Below are 18,828 nucleotides of genomic sequence, written 5' to 3' on the forward strand. Positions count from 1 at the left end.
TAGTATAAATTATTGTTGGCCATAATCACCCTAGAGTACTATACACCACTAGAACTTATTCCTTCTATTTAGTTGTAATTTTGTATTGGTTAATCAATCTCTTCCTATTCCCCTCTTCCCTGCTACCCTTCCCAGCCTCTAGTAACCAGTATTATACTCTGTACTTCTGTGAGATCAACTTATTTAGCTTCCACATATGAGTGAAAACATGATGTATTTATCTTTCTGTGCCTGGCTTATTTTACTTAACATAATTTCCTCCAGGCTCATCCATGTTGCTGAAAATGACAGGATTTCATTTTTTTAATGGCCAAATAGTATTCCATTATGTATTGTGTGCCACATTTTCTTTATCCATGCATCTGTTGATGAACGCTTAGGCCGGTTCCATATCTTGACTATTGTGAATAGTGCTGCAGTAAACATGGGAATGCAGATACCTCTTTGACATACTGATTTCCTTTCCTTTGGGTTATATATACCCAGCAATGGGATTAATTCATATGGTAGTTCTGTTTTTAGTTTTTTTGAATAACCTCCATACTATTTTCCATAATGGCTGTACTAATTTACATTTCCACCAATAATATATGAGAGTTTCATTTTCTTCACATTTTTGTCATCCTTTGTTATTTTTTTTTTTTTTGCCTTTTTGATAGTAGCCATTCTAACTTGAAATGATCTCATTGTGATTTTGATTTGCATTTTCCTCATGATTAGTGATGTTGAACATTTTTTCATATACTTCTTGGCCATTTATATGTCTTTTTTTTTTTTTTTTTTTTTTTTTTTTTTAAGAAAGAGTGTTACTCCGTTGCCCAGGCTAGAGTGCAAGTGGTGTCATCTTGGCTCACTGCAGCCTCCACATCCCGGGTTCAAGCGATTCTCCTGCTTCAGCCTCCTTAGTAACTGGGACTACAGGCACCTGCCACCACACCCAGCTATTTTTTTTGTAGTTTTAGTAGAGATGGGGTTTCACCATGTTGGCCAGGCTGGTCTCAAACTCCTCATCTCAAATGATCCGCCTGCCTTGGCCTCCCAAAGTGCGGGGATTACAGGCGTGAGCCACTGCACCTGGCCATTGAGAAATGCCTATTCAGTTCATTTGCCATTTTAAAAATATACTGTTTATTATTTATTTATTAGGATTATTTATTTTTTATTTTTGGTGTTGAGTTTTTTATGTATTTTGGATATTAATCTCTTGTTGGATGAATAGTTTGCAAATATTTTCTCCCATTCTGCAAGTTGTCTCTTCACTGTTGATTGTTTTTTTGCTGTGCAGAAGCTTTTTAGTTTGATCTAGTCCCATTTGTTTATTTTTGCTTTTGTTGCCTATGCTTCCGAGGTCTCATTTATAAAATCTTTGCCCAAACCAATGTCCTGAAGTGTTTCCCGTATGTTTTCTTCTAGTAGTTTCATAGTTTCAGGTCTTATGTTTAGGTTTTTAATAAATTTTGTGTTGATTTTTGTATATGATGAGAGGTAGGGGTCTATTTTCATTCTTTTGCATATGGATATCCAGTTTTCCCAGCACCATTTATTGAAGAGACTGTCATTTCCCCCACATATGTTCTTGGCACCTTTGTAGAAAATCAACTGGTTTTAAATGCATGGATTTATTTCTGTGTTATCTATTCTGTTCCATTGGTCTATGTATCTATTTTTATGTCACTACCATTGCTGTTTGAGTAGCTATAGCTTTTTTTTTTCTTCTTTTGAGACAGCATCTCGCTCTGTCGCCCAGGTTGGAGTGCAATGGTGTGATCTCGGCTCACTGCAACCTTCACCTCCTGGGTTCAGGTGATTCTCCTGCCTCAGCCTCCCGAGTAGCTGGGACTACAGGCACCCGCCACCACGCCCAGCTAATTTTTATATATTTTTTAATAGAGATGGGGTTTCACCATGTTGGCCAGGATGGTCTCGATCTTTTGACCTCATGATCCGCCTGCCTTGGCCTCCTGAAGTGCTGGGATTATAGGCGTGAGCCACCGCGCCCGGCCTTTGGTAGCTCTAGCTTTATAGTATATTTTGAAGTCAAGTAGTGTGATACTTTCAGCTTTGTTCTTTTTGCTCAGTATTGCTTTGGTTATTTGGGATCTTTTGTGGTTTCATGTGAATTTTAGGATTTTTTTTTTTTTCTGTTTCTTTGAAGAATATCACTGGTTCCCTGGTTGTCTAGTGGCTAGGAACAACAGCAAAAAGAATGCCACTGGCATTTTGATAGAGATTGCATTGAACCTGTAGATCACTTTGGGTGGTATGGCCATCTTAACAGTACTAATTCTTCCAATCCATGAATGGGTTAATTTATTTCTAGGTACTTTATTTTATTTTTCTGGTGATTGTAAATGGGATTGCTTTCTGGTTTCTTTTTCAGCTAGTTTGGTATTGGTTTATATGGTATGGATGTTTTTCTCCTCCAAATCATGTTGAAATGTGATTGGCTTAACACCAACCCATTGGTGATAAGTGAGTTCTTACTCAGTTCATGTGAGATCTGGTTGTTTAAAACAGTCTGGGACCTCCTTCTCTCTCTTGCTGCCACTCTTGCCATTGTGATGCACTTGCTCCCCCTTTGCCTTTTGCCATGATTGGAGGCTTCTTGAGGGCCTTACGAGGAGTAGATGCTGGAGCTCTGCCTGTACAGCCCACAGAGCTATGTTCCAATTAAACCTCTTTTCTTTGTAAATTACCCAGCCTCAGGTATTTCCTATAACAATGCAGAAGTAGCCTGACACATTGGTGTATAGAAATGCTACTGATTTTTGTATGTTGATTTTCTATTCTGCAACTTTACTGTATTCATTTATCAGTTCTAAGAGTTTTTTGATGGAGTCTTTAGGTTTTTCTATATGTAGGATTGTGTCATCTGTAAACAGGAACAGTTTGATGTCCTTCTTTTTAATTTGGATGCCCTTTGTTTCTTTCTCTTGCCTAATTGTCCTGGCTAGTACTTTCAGCACTATGTTGAATAAGAGCGGTGAAAGTGGGCATTTTTATTTTGTTCCAGTTTTTAGAGGAGAAGCTTTCAGCTGTTCCCTGTTGAGTGTGATGTTAGCTGCAGGTTTGTAATATATGACCTTTGTTGTATTGAGGTACATTCCTTCTGTACCTAATTTGTTGAGAGTTTTTATCCTGAAGGAATATTGAATGTTACCACATGCTTTCTCTTGAGATGATCAGATGGTTTTTTTCTCCTTTGTTTTGTTGATGTGATATCACATTTATTGATACACATAACCATCGTTACATCTCTGGCTAAATCTCACTTGATTGTGATATATTATCTTCTAATTGGATTCAGTTTGCTAGTATTTTGTTTAGGATTTTTGTGACTGTGTTCATCAGGGATATTGGACTTCAGTTTTCTTTTTTTTGTTGTTTTGTCCTTGTCTGGTTTGGGTATCAGTATAATGCCCACCTCATAGAATGAGTTTGGAAGAAATCTGTTCCCTCCCCCTTCAATTTTTTGAAATAGTTTGAGAGGAATTTGTATTAGTTCTTTAAATGTTTGGTAAAATTCAGCAGTGAAGCTGTCTGTTACTGCTCTTTTCTTTCTTGGGAGACTTTTTATACCCGCTTCAATCTTGTTCTTTGTTATTGACCTGTTCAGATTTTCTATTTCTTCTGAGTTGAATCTTGGTAGTAGGTCATATGTCTATGTCCAGTTTTCCTCCAGTTTGTTGGCGTAGAGTTGTTGTAGTAGTCGTTAATGATCTTTTTTATTTCTGTGGTATCAGTTGTAAATGCCTTTTTTTCATTTCTGATTTTATTTGTGTTTTCTCTTTTTTTCTTATTCTAGCTAATGAATTGTCAGTTTTGTTTATCTTTTCAAAAAACCAACTTTTTGTTTCAGTGACCTTCTGTAATTTTTTAGTCTCAATTTTGTTTATTTCTTCTCTGATCTTTATTAATTCTATCTACTGATTTTGGATTTGGTTCTTGCTTTTCTAGTTCTTTTAGATGCATTTTTAGATTGTTTATTTGAATTCTTTCTACTTTTCCAATGTAGGCATTTATTGCTATAGGCTTTCCTCTTAGTACTGCTTTTGCTGTATTTCATAGGCTTTGGTATATTGTGTTTTTATTTTCATTTGTTTCAAGAAATGTTTACATTTTCTTCTTAATTTCTTTGCTACCCGTTGGTTATTCAGGAATATGTTGTTTAGTTTGCATGTATTTGTACTGTGTCCAAAGTTCTTGTTATTGATTTCTAGTTTTTCTTCATTGTGATTAGAAAACCAAAATCATATCAAATAAAAAATTTATTGAGGCTTATTTTGTGGCCTGACTTATGGTCTGTTGCGGAGAATGTTCCATGTGCTGATGTGTATCTGCAGCTGTTGGATCAAATGTTCTGTTAACTTCTATTAGGACCATTTCATTTCTAGAGCAGTGGTCTTTTTGGTCCATTTTGTTTATAGAGCAGTTTAAGTCCAAAGTTTCTTTGTTGATTTTCTTTCTGGATGATCTGCCCAATGCCATGAGTGAGGTATTGAAGTTCCCAACTATTATTGTGTTGAAGTCTATCTTTCTCATTAGATCTGGTAGCATTTGCTTTATATATCTGGGTGTTCCAGTGTTGGGTGCATATATATTTACAACTGTTATGTCCTCTTGCTGAAATGATACCTTTATCTTTATATAATGACCTTGTTTTTCTCTTTGCACTGTTTTTGACTTAAAGTCTATTATATCTGATGTAAGTGTATCGTTGACTCTTAAACAACATAGGTTTGAATTGTGCAGGTTCACTTATACATTTATATTTTAAAAACCAAACATCAATAGAAAATACAGTATTCATAGGATATGAAATTTGCATATATGGAGGGCCTACTTTTTGTATACGTGGGTTTCACAGGGCCAACTTCAGGACTTGAGTAGGCACAGATTTTGATGCACGTGGAGTGTCCTGGAACAAATGCCTTGTATATACTGAGTTATGAATGTAGTTATTCTGCCTATTTTTGGTTTCTATTTGTATAGAATATCTTTTTCTGTCCTTTCATTTTCAGTCCATGTGTGTCTTTACAAGCAAAGTGAGTTTCTTGTAGGTAGCATATAGTTGAGTATTTAAAAAAATCTATCCAGCCAATCTCTTTATCATTTAATTGGGAAATTTAATTCATTTATATTCAAGATAAATAGGCAAGAACTTCTGTCATTTTGTTAATTGTTTTCTGTTTTTTTTTGTATGTTCTTTGTTCCTTTCTTTGTCTTTTATTGTCTATCTCTTCAGTTTGGTGGTTTTTTTGTAGTGATGAAATTGGATTCTTTTCTCTTTCTCATTTGTGTATGTGCTCTGCCAGTGAGTTTTAAGCTTTCATATGTTTTCATGATGGTAGTTCATCCTTTCACTTTCAAGTGTAGGACTCCCATAAGCATTTCTTTTAAGACGGGTCTAGTGGTGATAAATTCTCTCAGTTTTTTCTTGTCTGGGAAAGACTTTGTTTCTCCTTTATTTCTGAAGGATAGCTTGCTGGAGTAGTGTTCTTGGCTGGCAGGTTTTTGTTTTTTTTTTTCTTTCAGCATTTTGAATGTTATCATTCCATTCTCTCCTGGCTTGTAATGTTTCTGCAGATAAATCTGCTGTTAGTCTAATAAGTCTTATATGTGACTTGATGCTTTTTTCTTGCTGTTTTTAATATTCTCTTTTTGTCTTTGACTTCTGACAGTTTTAGGAGAATGTGCTTTGGAGAGGACATTTTTGGGTTGAATCCATTTGAAGACCTTTGAGTGTCCTGGATATGGATGTCCATCTTTCTTTCAGGACTTGGGAGTTTTCAGCTAAAATGTTTTCTATGCCCAACTTCGCTCCTTCTGTAACTCTCAATATGTAAAAATTTGTTTACTTAATGGTGTCCCATTACTACCATAGGCTTTCTTCATTCTTTTTTATGTTTTTCTCTTTCCTTTTTTTTTTTGTCTGACTGGGTTATTTCAAAAGTCCTGTCTTTGAGTTTAAATATTCTTTCTTTTGCTTGATGTAGTCTGTTGTTGAAGCTTTCAATTGTATTTTTAAATTTCATTGATTGAATTCTTGTTTTTTTTTTTCTTTTTCCTATCAGTTGGGCAATGTGCTTATTTCATGACAACGTTTGAGGGAGGCATATCTTACACGAGTGTGAACACTCAGTCATCACACTTTATTCATTGTATTCTTAAGCTCTGTTTTTTTTAATGATATATATATCTTTTTGTTGAATTTCTCATTTAGATAATGAATTGTTTTTCTGATTTTCTTGTATTATCTATCTATATTTTTCTTGTATCTCACTGGATTTCCTTAAGATCATCATTTTGAATTCCCTTTCAGGAATTTCGTAGATTTTCTTCTATTTAGGTTTGTTACTGGAGAGTTGTGTTTCTTTGGAGGTGTTGTGTTTCCCTGTTTTTCCATGTTTCTTTTTTTTTTTTAACTTAAAAAAAGTGTTTAAAGAAAGGTATCTATTTTTATTTCTTTATTTATCCACCTAGAGACAGGGTCTCACTCTGTTGCCCAGGCTGGAGTACAGTGGCGCGGTCTCGGCTCATTGCAACCTCTGCCTCCTGGTTCAAGCAATTCTCCTGCCTCAGCCTCCTTAGTAGTTGGGACTACAGGTGTCCACCACCACGCCTGGCTAATTTTTGTTATTTTTAGTAGAAATGTAGTTTCATCATGTTGGCCATACTGGTCTCAAACTCCTGACCTCAAGTGATCCACCTGCCTGGGCCTCCCAAAGTGCTGGGATTGCAGGCGTGAGCCACTGCACCTGGCCTGTTTTTCCATGTTTCTTTTGTTCCTACATTGATATTTGTGTGTCTAGTAGAACAGTCGTATCTTCCCCTTTTATGAATTAACTTTTGTAGGGAAAGACTTTTTTCTCTATGTATCAGTTAGGTTAGGTGTTTGGTTTAGCTTCTGGTTGGGCACAGATGTGTAATTGCCTTGTGATTTCTTTGGCTGTAATCAACATCAACAGTGTCTGTATGTGCCTCAGTGGCCTTGACTTTGGGGTTTGTGGAGACAGTGGCATGGTTTTGCTGGGAACAGGGATTGCCAGATGGGTTAGTTGTCTGTCCCTGGTGGGTGAGCATGGTGCATGGTAGATCCTCCATGGGAGGGGGAAGGGTTGCTGGTGGTGTCAGTTGTCTTGGTCCATATGGGGCACATGTGGCACATGGTTGCTCTACTGCTAGATAGGTCATGGTTGCTTGAGGTGATAGATGCTGGCCAGGCTAATTCTCAGTCTCTGGGGAATGCGTATGTCAGCCTTTCTCTTCCTGGTGGCAGCGTCCCCATTGTACTTGAATGTCTGTTTTTTTTTTTGGAGTGTAGGGTGCTGCATGGACTCAGGTGCTGAGGTCATAGTGGTACCACTGAAACTAGCTGGGGTCATGATCCTGCAGCCTTCTGTGTGGGCATGGTGGGATGATGGCAGATGGCACCCCTAGGATGTGGAGGTGTCTGGGCTATTGGCCTCCAGGTCAGAATGCACACCAGCAGTGGTTCCATTACCAAAATGGTGTCATACTGTAACAGCTTGGGTCTCATGGGATAGGGAGGACTCAGCTTGTGTTTCTTTTCAGGAGCAATTCAGCTGTGTATACTCCAGGCAGGTTCCTATACTGAGCTCAGGGTCTGTGATTACAGGTATTTGTGATGGTAATGGCGACTCTTGGGTGTCCCCCACTTAACCTTTTGCCCACAATGGGAAGTCCCTGTCAGCTCTAAGCTGATTCCATCTGGATGCTTCACTTCCCCCTCTAAGCTGCCATGCAGAGTTTCTGTGCCTCAGAGGGTTTTTGTCACTTCCTTGCTGAATTTTCATGTTCTCTCTTAGACATTCTACCTGAAGTGCTGTTATTTGTTGTTTTGATTCTTCTCTGCGGAGGAGACAAGGATTGGGCACCTCTAGTTGGCCATCTTGATGACATCTAACCAGTATTTTCTAGTTAAGATTTTAATTTCTGTGATTTCGCTCTGGTGATAATGGGATTGCTGAGTGGGTCAGTGTCAATTTAGTGGTCTCTAATGTAGAGATTTGTTTGAGATAAATTTACCCCAATATTATTTAACTACCCATGATTGATCTCAATAAATTATTTATCCAGCTTTCAATGCTTGCCTGCCTGGTTGCGCTTTGTAAAATTTCCACTTGGGGGTAGTGTTTCATTGCACAATCAAACAATGCTTTCTTCACTTAAGTATCACGTTTTCTAATTTGCTTTTGAACTTTCTTGTGCTTAAAAAGGGTCATAAAAGACTGTTAACTGTCTTAAAATCTTGATTTTTTTAACTGGTTGTTTCCTGTCATTTGAATAATTGCATTGAAATGAACAATTAATAAGAATTCAGTCTTTTGAGAATCCTAACACTTTTTCCATCTCTTGAGGGATAATACAAGCCTCTTTCTATTATTTTGTGTCTTGTAACATTTTTATTTTCAGTAAGACTTATCATATTATACTATCAAAAAAAAATCTCAGTCCACATTTTGAAAAACTCATTTCCTGTTTTTAAAAAGTTAAGTGAAAATATATATGCCTTAGCTAATTTTAGGCATTGGCTTTTTCTCCATATTATCCCATTACTTATTTATCCAATTCCACTTTCAACTCTCACCCCAGTTTTAAAAAGAGCAGTTTTTCAGAAGAAAAAAAAATCTTGTTTAAAAAAAATTGTGTTAATCATAACTATTACATTTTCATGTATACCATTATGCTATTTATTAATTAGTAACTTTTTTATTGTTACAGCTTTCAAAATCTATGCAATAACCCTATGGAGAAGATCATTTCACAATGCAGATTCTTTGTTTCAAGTAATTCTCTTAAGTTCTGTTTTTCCAAGTTATTTGGCATTTATCTATGTATCTTTTTATTAGTTTTTGCATGTTATTTTGTAAATTTTTTCATAAATTATTGTGTAAATTAACTTTGATATTTGTTCTTATTTGATTATGTTGGCTTGGATATACACTTTATGCTAAAATCTGTGTATTACTGTGGCCATCGCATACTTAACTTTCAATAGATTATAAACTCTTTGAGGGCAAACACCATTCTTATACATTTGTGTGTCCCTCTGTAGATTTTCCTGCAAATAGTAAATTATCAATTAATGTTTGTAAATATATAATTGGATATAGGGAGATGTTTTATGGTAAGTGTCATCAGTTAAACATATGAACATGGAGTTATGGTATAAATTAGTGACTAAACATATATTGGTTCTGTATGTAATTTTTGACCTCTTTTGAGAAATAGTTTTTATTTCTTTCATTTTAGACACTGTGTGTTGTAAAAACTTAAAATATGATTTTCTAATATTTTAAGCTCATGCGTGTTTCTTTTAAAATCACCATTCTTATACATAAAGACTTTCTTATGGAGAAGATATTTCAACATTGTGTGCTTAATCTTTAAAAACTTTTTTATTGTGGTAAGAATACTTATGACATCTATCCTCTTCACAAGGTTTTAAGTGTACAATATAGTATTGTTATAGGTATGTTGTATAGCCGATCTCTAGAACTTATTTATCTTGCATAATTGAAATTTTTTTTTTTTTTGAGACAGAGTTTCCACTCTGCTGCCCAGGCTGGAGTGCAGTGGCACGATCTCAGTTCACTGCAACCTTTGCCTTCTGGGTTCAAGCGATTCTCCTGCCTCAGCCTCCCGAGTAGCTGGGATTACAGGTGTGCATCATCACGCCCAGCTAATTTTTGGATTTTTAGTAGAGACGGGGTTTCACCATGTTGGCCAGGCTGGTCTTGAATTCCTGACCTCAGGTGATCCACCCGCCTCGACCTCCCAAAGTGTTGGGATTACACGCATGAGCCACCGCGCCCGGCCCAACGTAATTGGTACTTTATACCCATTGGTTATCAACTCTCCATTTCCAGCATCTCACTAGTTCCTGGCAACCATCATTCTATTTTGTGATTCTATGAGTTTTGATATTTTAGATACCGCACATAAGTGGAATCATGCCAGTATTTGTCCTTTTGTGACTCACTTATTTCGTTTAACATAGTGTCTTCAGAGTTTATTCATATTATCACATATTGCAGTATTTTATTCTTTTTAAATGCAGAATTACGTTTCATTGCTTGTATATACCCCATTTTCTTTATTCATTCACCTATCCATGGACATTTAGGTTGTTTCCACATCTTAGCTATTGTGAATTGTGTTGCAGTGAACATTGGAGTGCTAATATCCTTTGTTATTTGAAGAGAATTTCAAGTCAGTTTTTCTTCTGATTTCAGTTCTTTTGGATAAAGATGTGGAAGTAGGATTGATCGATCTTATAGTAGTTTTGTTTTCCTGTGTATTTAATCTTAAAGCGATTTTCACATTTTTTCTTTTCTTTTGCTGAAAAGTGGATGAATCTTTTTTTTTTTTTTTTTTTTTTTACTTTTCTTCCCTGCTCCTTTTTTTTTTTTTTTTTTTTCCTGGAAAGGGTCTTGCTCTGTTGCCCAGGCTGGAGTGCAGTGGCATGATCATAGCTCACTGCAGCCTTGATTTCCCAGGTTCAAGCAATCCTCCCACCTCAGCCTCCCAAGTAGCTGGGACTACAGATACATGCCATAATGCCCAGCTAATTATTTTGGTTTTTAGTAGAGATGAAATCTTGCTATGTTGCCCAGGCTGGTGGTCTTAGACTCCTGAGCTCAGGTAGTCCTCCCACCTTAGCCTCTCAAAGTGGTGGAATTACGGGTATAAGCCACCATGCCCAGTCTTCTTTACTTTTTGAAAGAGGAAAAACACTGCACAGTTAAAAATTTCATGAGAACAACCTGTATTTAAATAGTTTTGCTGTTTCTTTATGTCTGTATTCAAAAATGAAGAGGAATGTTTTGAAAATGGCTGTGTTGTGTTTAGTAAGATGGGATAGGGTAGGAAGGAACTGGGCAGATGACTGAAGAGATGTGCTAGTAATTAGAATTTCATTTTCCACACACACACACACACATTTTGAAAGTCTAGAATAATTAATTGTTGTTTGCTTGTTTTTGCATTACAGTGAATGATTTGGGAGGGGACTTCAAAGGAGTTGGTAAAGGCTCCTTAGCTGCTGATAAGGTTGTTGAAGAAATAAGAAGGAGAGGTGGAAAAGCAGTGGCCAACTATGGTATGGTATTTGAGAGAACTATACTATTTATTTTCCTTCAACTAATGCTATTTGTCACATTAATAATCTTTGAGCAAATATCTCAGTATTCCAGTATAATTATGATTTTCTAAGTCTGCCAAAGTTTTCTGACTACATATTTTATATATGTGAGAATTGTTAAAACTTTTGATGTAGACTATTTCATGATTCTAAGCTTTGTTCTATTGTTTACTATTTTTATTAGTGAGCACATGATATAATTAGTAAATTATTGTAGATATGGATATGTTCTTCTGAGTTCTGTTGGGTGAATAGTATTTGTCGTGTACTCTGACCCACAGAATTTAGAAGTCCTTTGGAAGGGAGGTTGCCGAAATTTCATACAAATTTTCCTTTCCCTCAGATTCAGTGGAAGAAGGAGAGAAGGTTGTGAAGACAGCCCTGGATGCTTTTGGAAGAATAGGTGATGTTTCTTTGTGTTATGGCTCTTGTGGAGCAACTTCTACCTTCCTAATGAAATATTTTTAAGTTGACTTTCATTTACTAAACAGATACCTCTTTCCTCATAATCACATTTTAAAATTTGATTTATAAGTTAATTATTGTACTTATTTCATAAAGGGTTTAATTGAGGTGGCAATTTTATGGATATAGTGTTGAGTTTGTTTTTTTGCACCTTAAGTGCTTTAAAAAACTTACGAGCGTTTACTCAGTGCCCTTTTTAAAATAATTCAGTTAAACCTCAAAGATGTTTATAAGATTAAAAAATAAACCAATATTTTGGCAATAGAGTACCCAGTGGATTCTTTTGGATAATTATAATAATTTGGATTAAAATAATCCAATATCTTGCAAATTACTTAAGATGATTTCTCTATAATAAAAATCTTAATTTTTAAGAAGTATTTCAAATAAATTGTTGAGTTTGTTATTTCTGTAGCTAATCTTCCCAGTTTAGTCCCACACACTCTTAATAAAAGATTATTTAACTACTAGATGGAGACATCACGGAACATAAGCCCAACATGTTTACAATCTGAAAAACATTACTTATTCTTAATTGAATGTGCTCTCCCTTTTTTGTTTGGTCTATTACACTTATTTTTCTAATTTTGTTTGATTGAACTCATAAGAACCATGTTCACATATCGTCTGACAGGGATAGAAACCACAAAAATGTGAAATCATAGGGTGAAAATAGCCACAAGAGGGTTGAACCTTAAAAAATAATTATTTTCTTTCATAGTGAGAAAATAATTATGTATCAAGATAAGGCATCAGTTTGTAACTCTAATGGTTTTCTTTTTGGACTTTTTACTTTTGAGTGGCAAGGGAAAAATGTAACTTTAACTTGCTAAGTGAATTTTGAGGTTAAGTGTAGAATGGCTTATGGTTCTGATTCCTTAGAACCTAAGAGTTGTAAAATGGCTAATTCTATAATTAAGTGGATAGAATTTTGATAGAGAGGTGGGAAAATTTATAGATGTTAGTTTGAGAGGAAGGTGCTTGATATAATGTGATACTTAGGCTTTTGTGAGTCAACTTTTTTTGATATAGGTATAGACTTTTGTTTTGAAAGCACTCTTTACCTATTATATTTACTTTTTCATGGTTAAAAAACGCCAGTTTTGAGAGAAATGTGAGTTGTAAGCAAATGCAAACTAATATGCTTGCTTTTAGATGTAACTTGTATCTTTTTATATTGTAGATGTTGTGGTCAACAATGCTGGGTGAGTATTTCTTTTTCATTTTTAGTGATGTGTGTATAATTTTTTTAAAAAGTATATACTTTCCTCCTTTTACCCTATACAACATTGATTTTTTAGAATTCTGAGGGATCGTTCCTTTGCTAGGATAAGTGATGAAGACTGGGGTAAGTTGTTTTTAGTATTTCTCTGGGGAACATACTTATCCATTTAGCCTTTTTAGTATTTGATAAATTTATACATTTAAGGAAAAACCTGCTTCTATCTACTTTTGCTGCTAATATAAATGATGAGTAAACTGTATACTGAAGACAATGAATAGTTAGAAGTAGCCTCTTTTAGAAAACATTTAATACTTTTAAAAAATGTTAAATCATTTGTTTAGAAGATATCTAAAAGGATTTTATTTCTTCAGGTTTCCCTCTCCCCTTTTTTTCTCCTTAAGAGGTTGTCAGCATTTTCTAGAGGTATTAACTCTTAACAGCCTTTAACGTGCTTATCCAGCTGTGTGAATCTTTTTCAAGAACAGGAGCAGGATATTTAAGGGAGTCTAGTGCACTAAAAATGATGGAGATTTTAGAACAGGTTAGGACAAAACCTGGATATAATTTTGAAGCTTCTAGTAAATAGGAAAGTTTTCCATTCTTTCTGAATTGGAAAGATTGAGTTTAGATAATGAACAAATCACAGTTAAGAATTTTTTTTTTCTTTTGCTCCTCTTTGTGCTTACTTTCATTGGCCATCAGAACTAAAATGAACAGTGGTGGCTGAGACAGAGGGAAGCATGGCAACTGAGGTGAAACAATTGTATCATTGTTTATAGAGTGTGTTTTGGGGGAATAGTGCCTGACTGTCTTTTGGAAGAAGAGTTAGTGTCTTTGATTTAGAATTAAGCTAAGAAGAGCTTTTAGTTTCTGCTTCCCTTGTAACAACTGGGGTAAAAAAGAAGCTGAGAAAGATAGGATTTGCTGGCAAAGGGGGCCTATGTTGGTGCTTTTCTTGGTGCTGCAACGGGACTGAGGTATTTCCTTCTCTGATTCCATCCTACTAAGCCACTACTCCTGACTACCCTTCTCCCTCTCTTTCTTTTTTTTAGTTCCTTTTTTCACTCTTACATTCTTCTTCTAATATACACATGAAAACATTTGTTTTACCAAAAATAAGTAAGAATGCTTAAAAAACTTGACAATTAAAATCTAGAATTGTCTGTCTGAATGTTTCATAAGTGGTCTGTTCGTTAGATTGAAATTTGTGAAAACAGGCCTCTCACTAACTCATTTGCAAATGGTAACAATAGGGATCTAGTGAGTATTTTGTAAATATTTCTTAATGAGCTATGTGATTTATGATTATGCCTTAACTGATGTTAGTGTTGGGTGCCAGTTATATTTATAAAAATCTTGGATTTTATATTAGCAAAATTTTTATATGAAGTAGGCATAAAATAAGGGCGTAGCATTATATTTAGATGTGTATAGGCATTACATTAATTTTACAAATTATGAGGAGAGCTGTTGTAGTTCTAAGTGTGAAGTATTGATTAGTAGCATAACTGGAATAAAGGCAAAATACTCATTGGGGTGTGACAGTAGGCAATTTTATACATTAGGTATAAAATGAACATCTTTGTATAAATACAACATTGCTTATGTTGATTCTTAGACATGCCTAAGTTTTTACAAAATATTTAATAAAAATAATTTATTGTTTTAGATATAATCCACAGAGTTCATTTGCGGGGTTCATTCCAAGTGACACGGGCAGCATGGGAACACATGAAGAAACAGAAGTATGGAAGGTAGAGTTGCATGTGGTTGTCAAGGGGGATTTAAGATGTTGTGTCTGGGGGTTCTTGTGTACAGGGAAAGATTATGTGAAGTGTTGTGAAATGATTTATGACATTGAGGAATATGTACAACCTTTTAACATATGGTTTTGGCACATACCCTCATTAAATTGGTATAATTTAGTCACAGATTGGCTGAGCTGGAAAGCTTTATATTTATTTTTTACCTCTTTTTGTTATTAAAGATTTTCTTGCTGCTCTCTGGCAATTTTTATTTTATTTTGAGACATAGTTTCATTCTTGTCCAGGCTGGAGTACAGTGGCATGAACATGGCTCACTGTAGCCTTACCTCCTGGGCTCAAGCAGTCCTCCCACCTCAGCCTCCCAAGTAGCTGGGACTGCAGGTATGTGTCACCATGCCTGGCAAGTTTTTTAATTTTTTGGTAGAGACAGTATCTCGTTTTGTTGCCCAGGCTGGTCTCAAACTCTTGGGCCCAAGTAATCTTCCTGCCTTAGTTTCTGGCATTTTAGAAGATAGTATACACATTGAGGATTCGGTTATACCTTATTCTGTAACCCGAATATTATTTCATGTCTTACCAGCTGGGGAGAGATGAATGGCTAGTCCCTGCTGGCTGGTGCTAGTCAGACGTGAGTTAGTCTTTATAAACTGTTTAGGAACTGTAGGACCCCTCATGATTGCTCCTAGATAAGTAACTCATTGTGGCAGTGCTAGTATGCTTTAGTCCATGTCCTCTGTTGCACTCTAGTGCTGAGGTCATTCCTGTTAATTTAGGATTCATACATACCTAATAGAAGCAAATTGCTTGTGATGCCTGTTTTTGTTGGAGATTTCTAGTTTATCCTGGTCCTGACAGTTTCTGAAAATAAATAATATGATTTATTTTACTTAGCCTAAGTAGAGTGAGTGAGGTTGGGTCAGATTTTGAGATGGCATTGTTTTAATGAGGCATTTAATATTATTCAGAAAGGGAGAGAGGCAAAGTGATGAGGACTGAAAAATTAGAACTGTTCGATTTAATATTTCTTGCTAAAATTTTAACTTACATGTTACCAGGTTATTTTATGGTTGTAAAGCATAAGTCTAAGATCATTTGGTTCTGGCCAGAGAATCTTTTTAAAACAGTTAAATCTTGTAGTTGAATTTTGAGAGATTACTTATATATTAATATTATTTTAGTTACATAAATCATGATCGTAAGAAGCTAATGACAGTACACATAGTTGCTTTTGATAGGTGCAGTAGTACCAAAACAGAGTTAGAGTTGCAATGTTATCAAATTATGGAAAAGATGATATTGAGAGATTGATTTTCTTTTTAGGATTATTATGACTTCATCAGCTTCAGGAATATATGGCAACTTTGGCCAGGCCAATTATAGTGCTGCAAAGTTGGGTCTTCTGGGCCTTGCAAATTCTCTTGCAATTGAAGGCAGGAAAAGCAACATTCATTGTAACACCATTGCTCCTAATGCGGGATCACGGATGACTCAGACAGTTATGCCTGAAGGTAAGTAAGCAAGCTTATATTTTTCAGTGCTGTTACTTACAAACCTATGTGGAATGAGCTTTACAAAAGTATTTAATTTTCTGAATACTTAAAAATTATTATTTTTTTCAATTTCGAAAGCATTATCTGTAAATTGTGTTCATTGTGGAAAATTTAGAAAAGCACAAAGGAAAAAATAAAAAATGACCCATAATTCTACCACATCGATAAAAACTTTCATTCTTTTTCTCTGCATATTCATAATTTTTTTTTTGTTTTACACAATGGGGTAATATTCTTCCTGTTTCATAATAATTATTGTAAAAATACATTATTTTTTAGAGCAGTTCTAGATTTACAGAAAAATTGTACAGAGAATTCTTCTATACTTTACCTCCCACAGTTTCCCCTGTTATTAACATCTTTGGTCAGAGTGGTATATTTATTACAATTGATGAACCAGTATGGAGCCGTTATGATAAGCTAAAGTTCGTCGTTTACACTGGGATTCACCCTTTGTGTTGTACAAATGTATGGGTTTTCACAAATGCATAAAGTTATGTATCCACTGTTATAATGTCATGCAGAATGGTTTTACTGCCCTAAAAATCCCCTGTGCTTCACCTGTTTGTCTCTCCCCTTTTCTTCCTGAATTCTCAGGGATTGAAGCTCATTTCTTTTTATTTTTCAGTAATATTCCGTGGTATGAATGTACTACAATTTGTTTATTCATACACCTATTGGGGGAGATCTTGGTTGCTTCCAGTTTTTGGCACTTATTAATAAAGCTGCCATAAGCATTCATGTGCAGGTTTTTGTGTGGACATAAGTTTTTAAGTCGTGTAAATACCATGGAGTGTGATTGCTGGATGGATGCTATGATAAGACTAGGTTTAGCTTTGTAAGAAATTGCCAAACTATCTTCCAAAATGATTGTATCATTTTGCATTCCCACCAGCAATTAATGAGAGTTCTTGTTGCTTCACATCCTCGCCAGCATTTTTTATTGTCAGTATTTTGGATTTTAGGTTTTCTAATAGATATGTAGTGATATCTTATTGTTTTAATTTGCACTTACCTAGTGACATATGTTATTGAACATTTTTTTCCTATGCTTATTTGGCATTTATTTGTCTTTTTTGTTGAGATGTCTATTCACATCTTTCACCCATTTTTAAATTGGATTGTTTGTTTTCTTGAATTTTAAGGGTTCTTTGTATATTTTAGAAACAAGTCCTTTATCAGATATATGTTTTAGAAATTTTTTTTTCAGTCTGTGGCTTGTTATCGGGGTCCTGCCCCGATAATTACGTAGGTTCTTTTCTATTTTCCTAAGCATCGGCTGGCTTGAGAAATAAAGGGACAGAGTACAAAAGAGAGAAATTTTAAAGCTGGGTGTCCAGGGGAGACATCACACATTGGTAGGATCTGTGATGCCCCACAAGCCACAAAAACCAGCAAGTTTTTATTAGGGATTTTCAAAAGGGGAGGGAGTGTGTGAATAGGTGTGGGTGACAGACATCAAGTACTTAACAGGGTAATAGAATATCACAAGGCAAGTGGAGGCAGGGCGAGATCACAGGACCACAGGACTGAGGCGAAATTAAAATTGCTAATGAAGTTTTGGGCACCATTGTCATTGATAATATCTTATCAGGAGACAGGGTTTTGAGATCAACCGGTCTGACCAAAATTTATTAGGTGGGAATTTCCTCTTCCTAATAAGCCTGGGAGCGCTATGGGAGACTGGAGTTTATTTCACCCCTGCAGTCTCAACCGTAAGAGACAGGTACGCCCCGGGGGGGCCAGTTCAGAGACCTACCCCTAGGTGCGCATTCTCTTTCTCAGGGACGTTCCATGCTGAGAAAAAGAATTCAGCAATATTTCTCCCATTTGCTTTTGAAAGAAGAGAAATAATGGCTCTGTTCTGCTCGGCTCACCAGCGGTCAGAGTTTAAGGTTATCTCTCTTATTCCCCGAACAATTGCTGTTATCCTGTTCTTTTTTCAAGGTGCTCAGATTTCATATTGCACAAACACACATGCTGTACAATTGGTGCAGTTAATGCAATTATCACATAGTCCTGAGGCGACATACATCCTCCTCGGCTGACAGGATTAAGAGATTAAAGTAAAGACAGGCATAGGAAATCATAAGGGTATTGACTGGGGAAGTGATAAGTGTCCATGAAATCTTTACAATTTATGTTTAGAGATTGCAGTAAAGACAGGCATAAGAAATTACAAAAGTATTAATTTGGGGAACTAATAAATGTCCATAAAATCTTCACAATTCACGTTCTTCTGCCATGGTTTCAGCCGGTCTCTCTGTTTGGGGTCCCTGACTTCCCTCAACACCTTGTCTTTCTATTCTCTTAATCTCCTTTACTTTTGAAGGATAAGTTCGTTGGATACAGAATTCTCTGTTGGTGGCTTTTTTCTTTCAACACTTTAAATACAGGCATATCTTGGAGATGTTGCAGGTTTGATTGTAGATCACCACAATAAAGCTAAGATTGCAATAAAGCAAGTCATATAAATTTTTTGGTTTCTCAGTGCATGTAAAAGTTATATTTACACTATGCTGTAGTTTATTAGATGTGCAATAGCATTATGTGTAGATCTAAACCATATACATGCCTTAATTAAAAACCACTTCATTGTTAAAAAATGCCAGTATGGATAAATGGAGTGAGCACATGCTGTTGGAAAAATGACAC

General features: G+C 35.6%; 1 protein-coding gene and 1 pseudogene across 14 annotated transcripts in view, besides 4 other annotated features; one reads left to right on the forward strand and one right to left on the reverse strand.

The window, feature by feature from the left end:
* Positions 1-18,828, forward strand: part of HSD17B4 (hydroxysteroid 17-beta dehydrogenase 4) — an 89,836-nt gene that overhangs the window by 10,394 nt on the left and 60,614 nt on the right. For 6 of the 14 annotated variants that reach the window (NR_164654.1, NR_164653.1, NM_001374501.1 and 3 more), the window contains 6 exons: positions 11,018-11,125; positions 11,511-11,570; positions 12,816-12,837; positions 12,934-12,980; positions 14,527-14,611; positions 15,944-16,131. Coding sequence is in view for 12 of the 14 variants with exons in the window: in NM_000414.4 (NP_000405.1) it covers positions 11,018-11,125; positions 11,511-11,570; positions 12,816-12,837; positions 12,934-12,980; positions 14,527-14,611; positions 15,944-16,131 (510 nt within the window). In the remaining 2 variants the exon portion in view is untranslated. Of the gene's footprint in view, positions 1-8,745; positions 8,811-11,017; positions 11,131-11,510; positions 11,571-12,815; positions 12,838-12,933; positions 12,981-14,526; positions 14,612-14,907; positions 15,005-15,943; positions 16,132-18,828 lie in introns of all 14 variants that reach the window. The other 8 variants (NM_001199291.3, NM_001292027.2, NM_001292028.2 and 5 more) reach the window with 6 other exon arrangements.
* LOC124901215 (uncharacterized) lies at positions 6,069-6,165 on the reverse strand (annotated as a pseudogene).
* Positions 6,936-7,667: an enhancer, noted in NCBI's record as "OCT4-NANOG-H3K27ac hESC enhancer chr5:118805521-118806252 (GRCh37/hg19 assembly coordinates)". NCBI's record gives its function as "activates a minimal SCP1, AML or CMV promoter by ChIP-STARR-seq in naive and primed H9 embryonic stem cells {active_cell/tissue: H9 hESC(naive and primed)}" and the evidence as "EXISTENCE:reporter gene assay evidence [ECO:0000049][PMID:30033119]".
* Positions 7,668-8,399: an enhancer, noted in NCBI's record as "OCT4-NANOG-H3K27ac hESC enhancer chr5:118806253-118806984 (GRCh37/hg19 assembly coordinates)". NCBI's record gives its function as "activates a minimal SCP1, AML or CMV promoter by ChIP-STARR-seq in naive and primed H9 embryonic stem cells {active_cell/tissue: H9 hESC(naive and primed)}" and the evidence as "EXISTENCE:reporter gene assay evidence [ECO:0000049][PMID:30033119]".
* Positions 17,350-17,933: an enhancer, noted in NCBI's record as "OCT4-NANOG hESC enhancer chr5:118815935-118816518 (GRCh37/hg19 assembly coordinates)". NCBI's record gives its function as "activates a minimal SCP1, AML or CMV promoter by ChIP-STARR-seq in naive and primed H9 embryonic stem cells {active_cell/tissue: H9 hESC(naive and primed)}" and the evidence as "EXISTENCE:reporter gene assay evidence [ECO:0000049][PMID:30033119]".
* Positions 17,934-18,517: an enhancer, noted in NCBI's record as "OCT4-NANOG hESC enhancer chr5:118816519-118817102 (GRCh37/hg19 assembly coordinates)". NCBI's record gives its function as "activates a minimal SCP1, AML or CMV promoter by ChIP-STARR-seq in primed H9 embryonic stem cells {active_cell/tissue: H9 hESC(primed)}" and the evidence as "EXISTENCE:reporter gene assay evidence [ECO:0000049][PMID:30033119]".

Source organism: Homo sapiens, chromosome 5, assembly GCF_000001405.40.
Source record: "Homo sapiens chromosome 5, GRCh38.p14 Primary Assembly".
Lineage (NCBI taxonomy): Eukaryota > Metazoa > Chordata > Mammalia > Primates > Hominidae > Homo > Homo sapiens.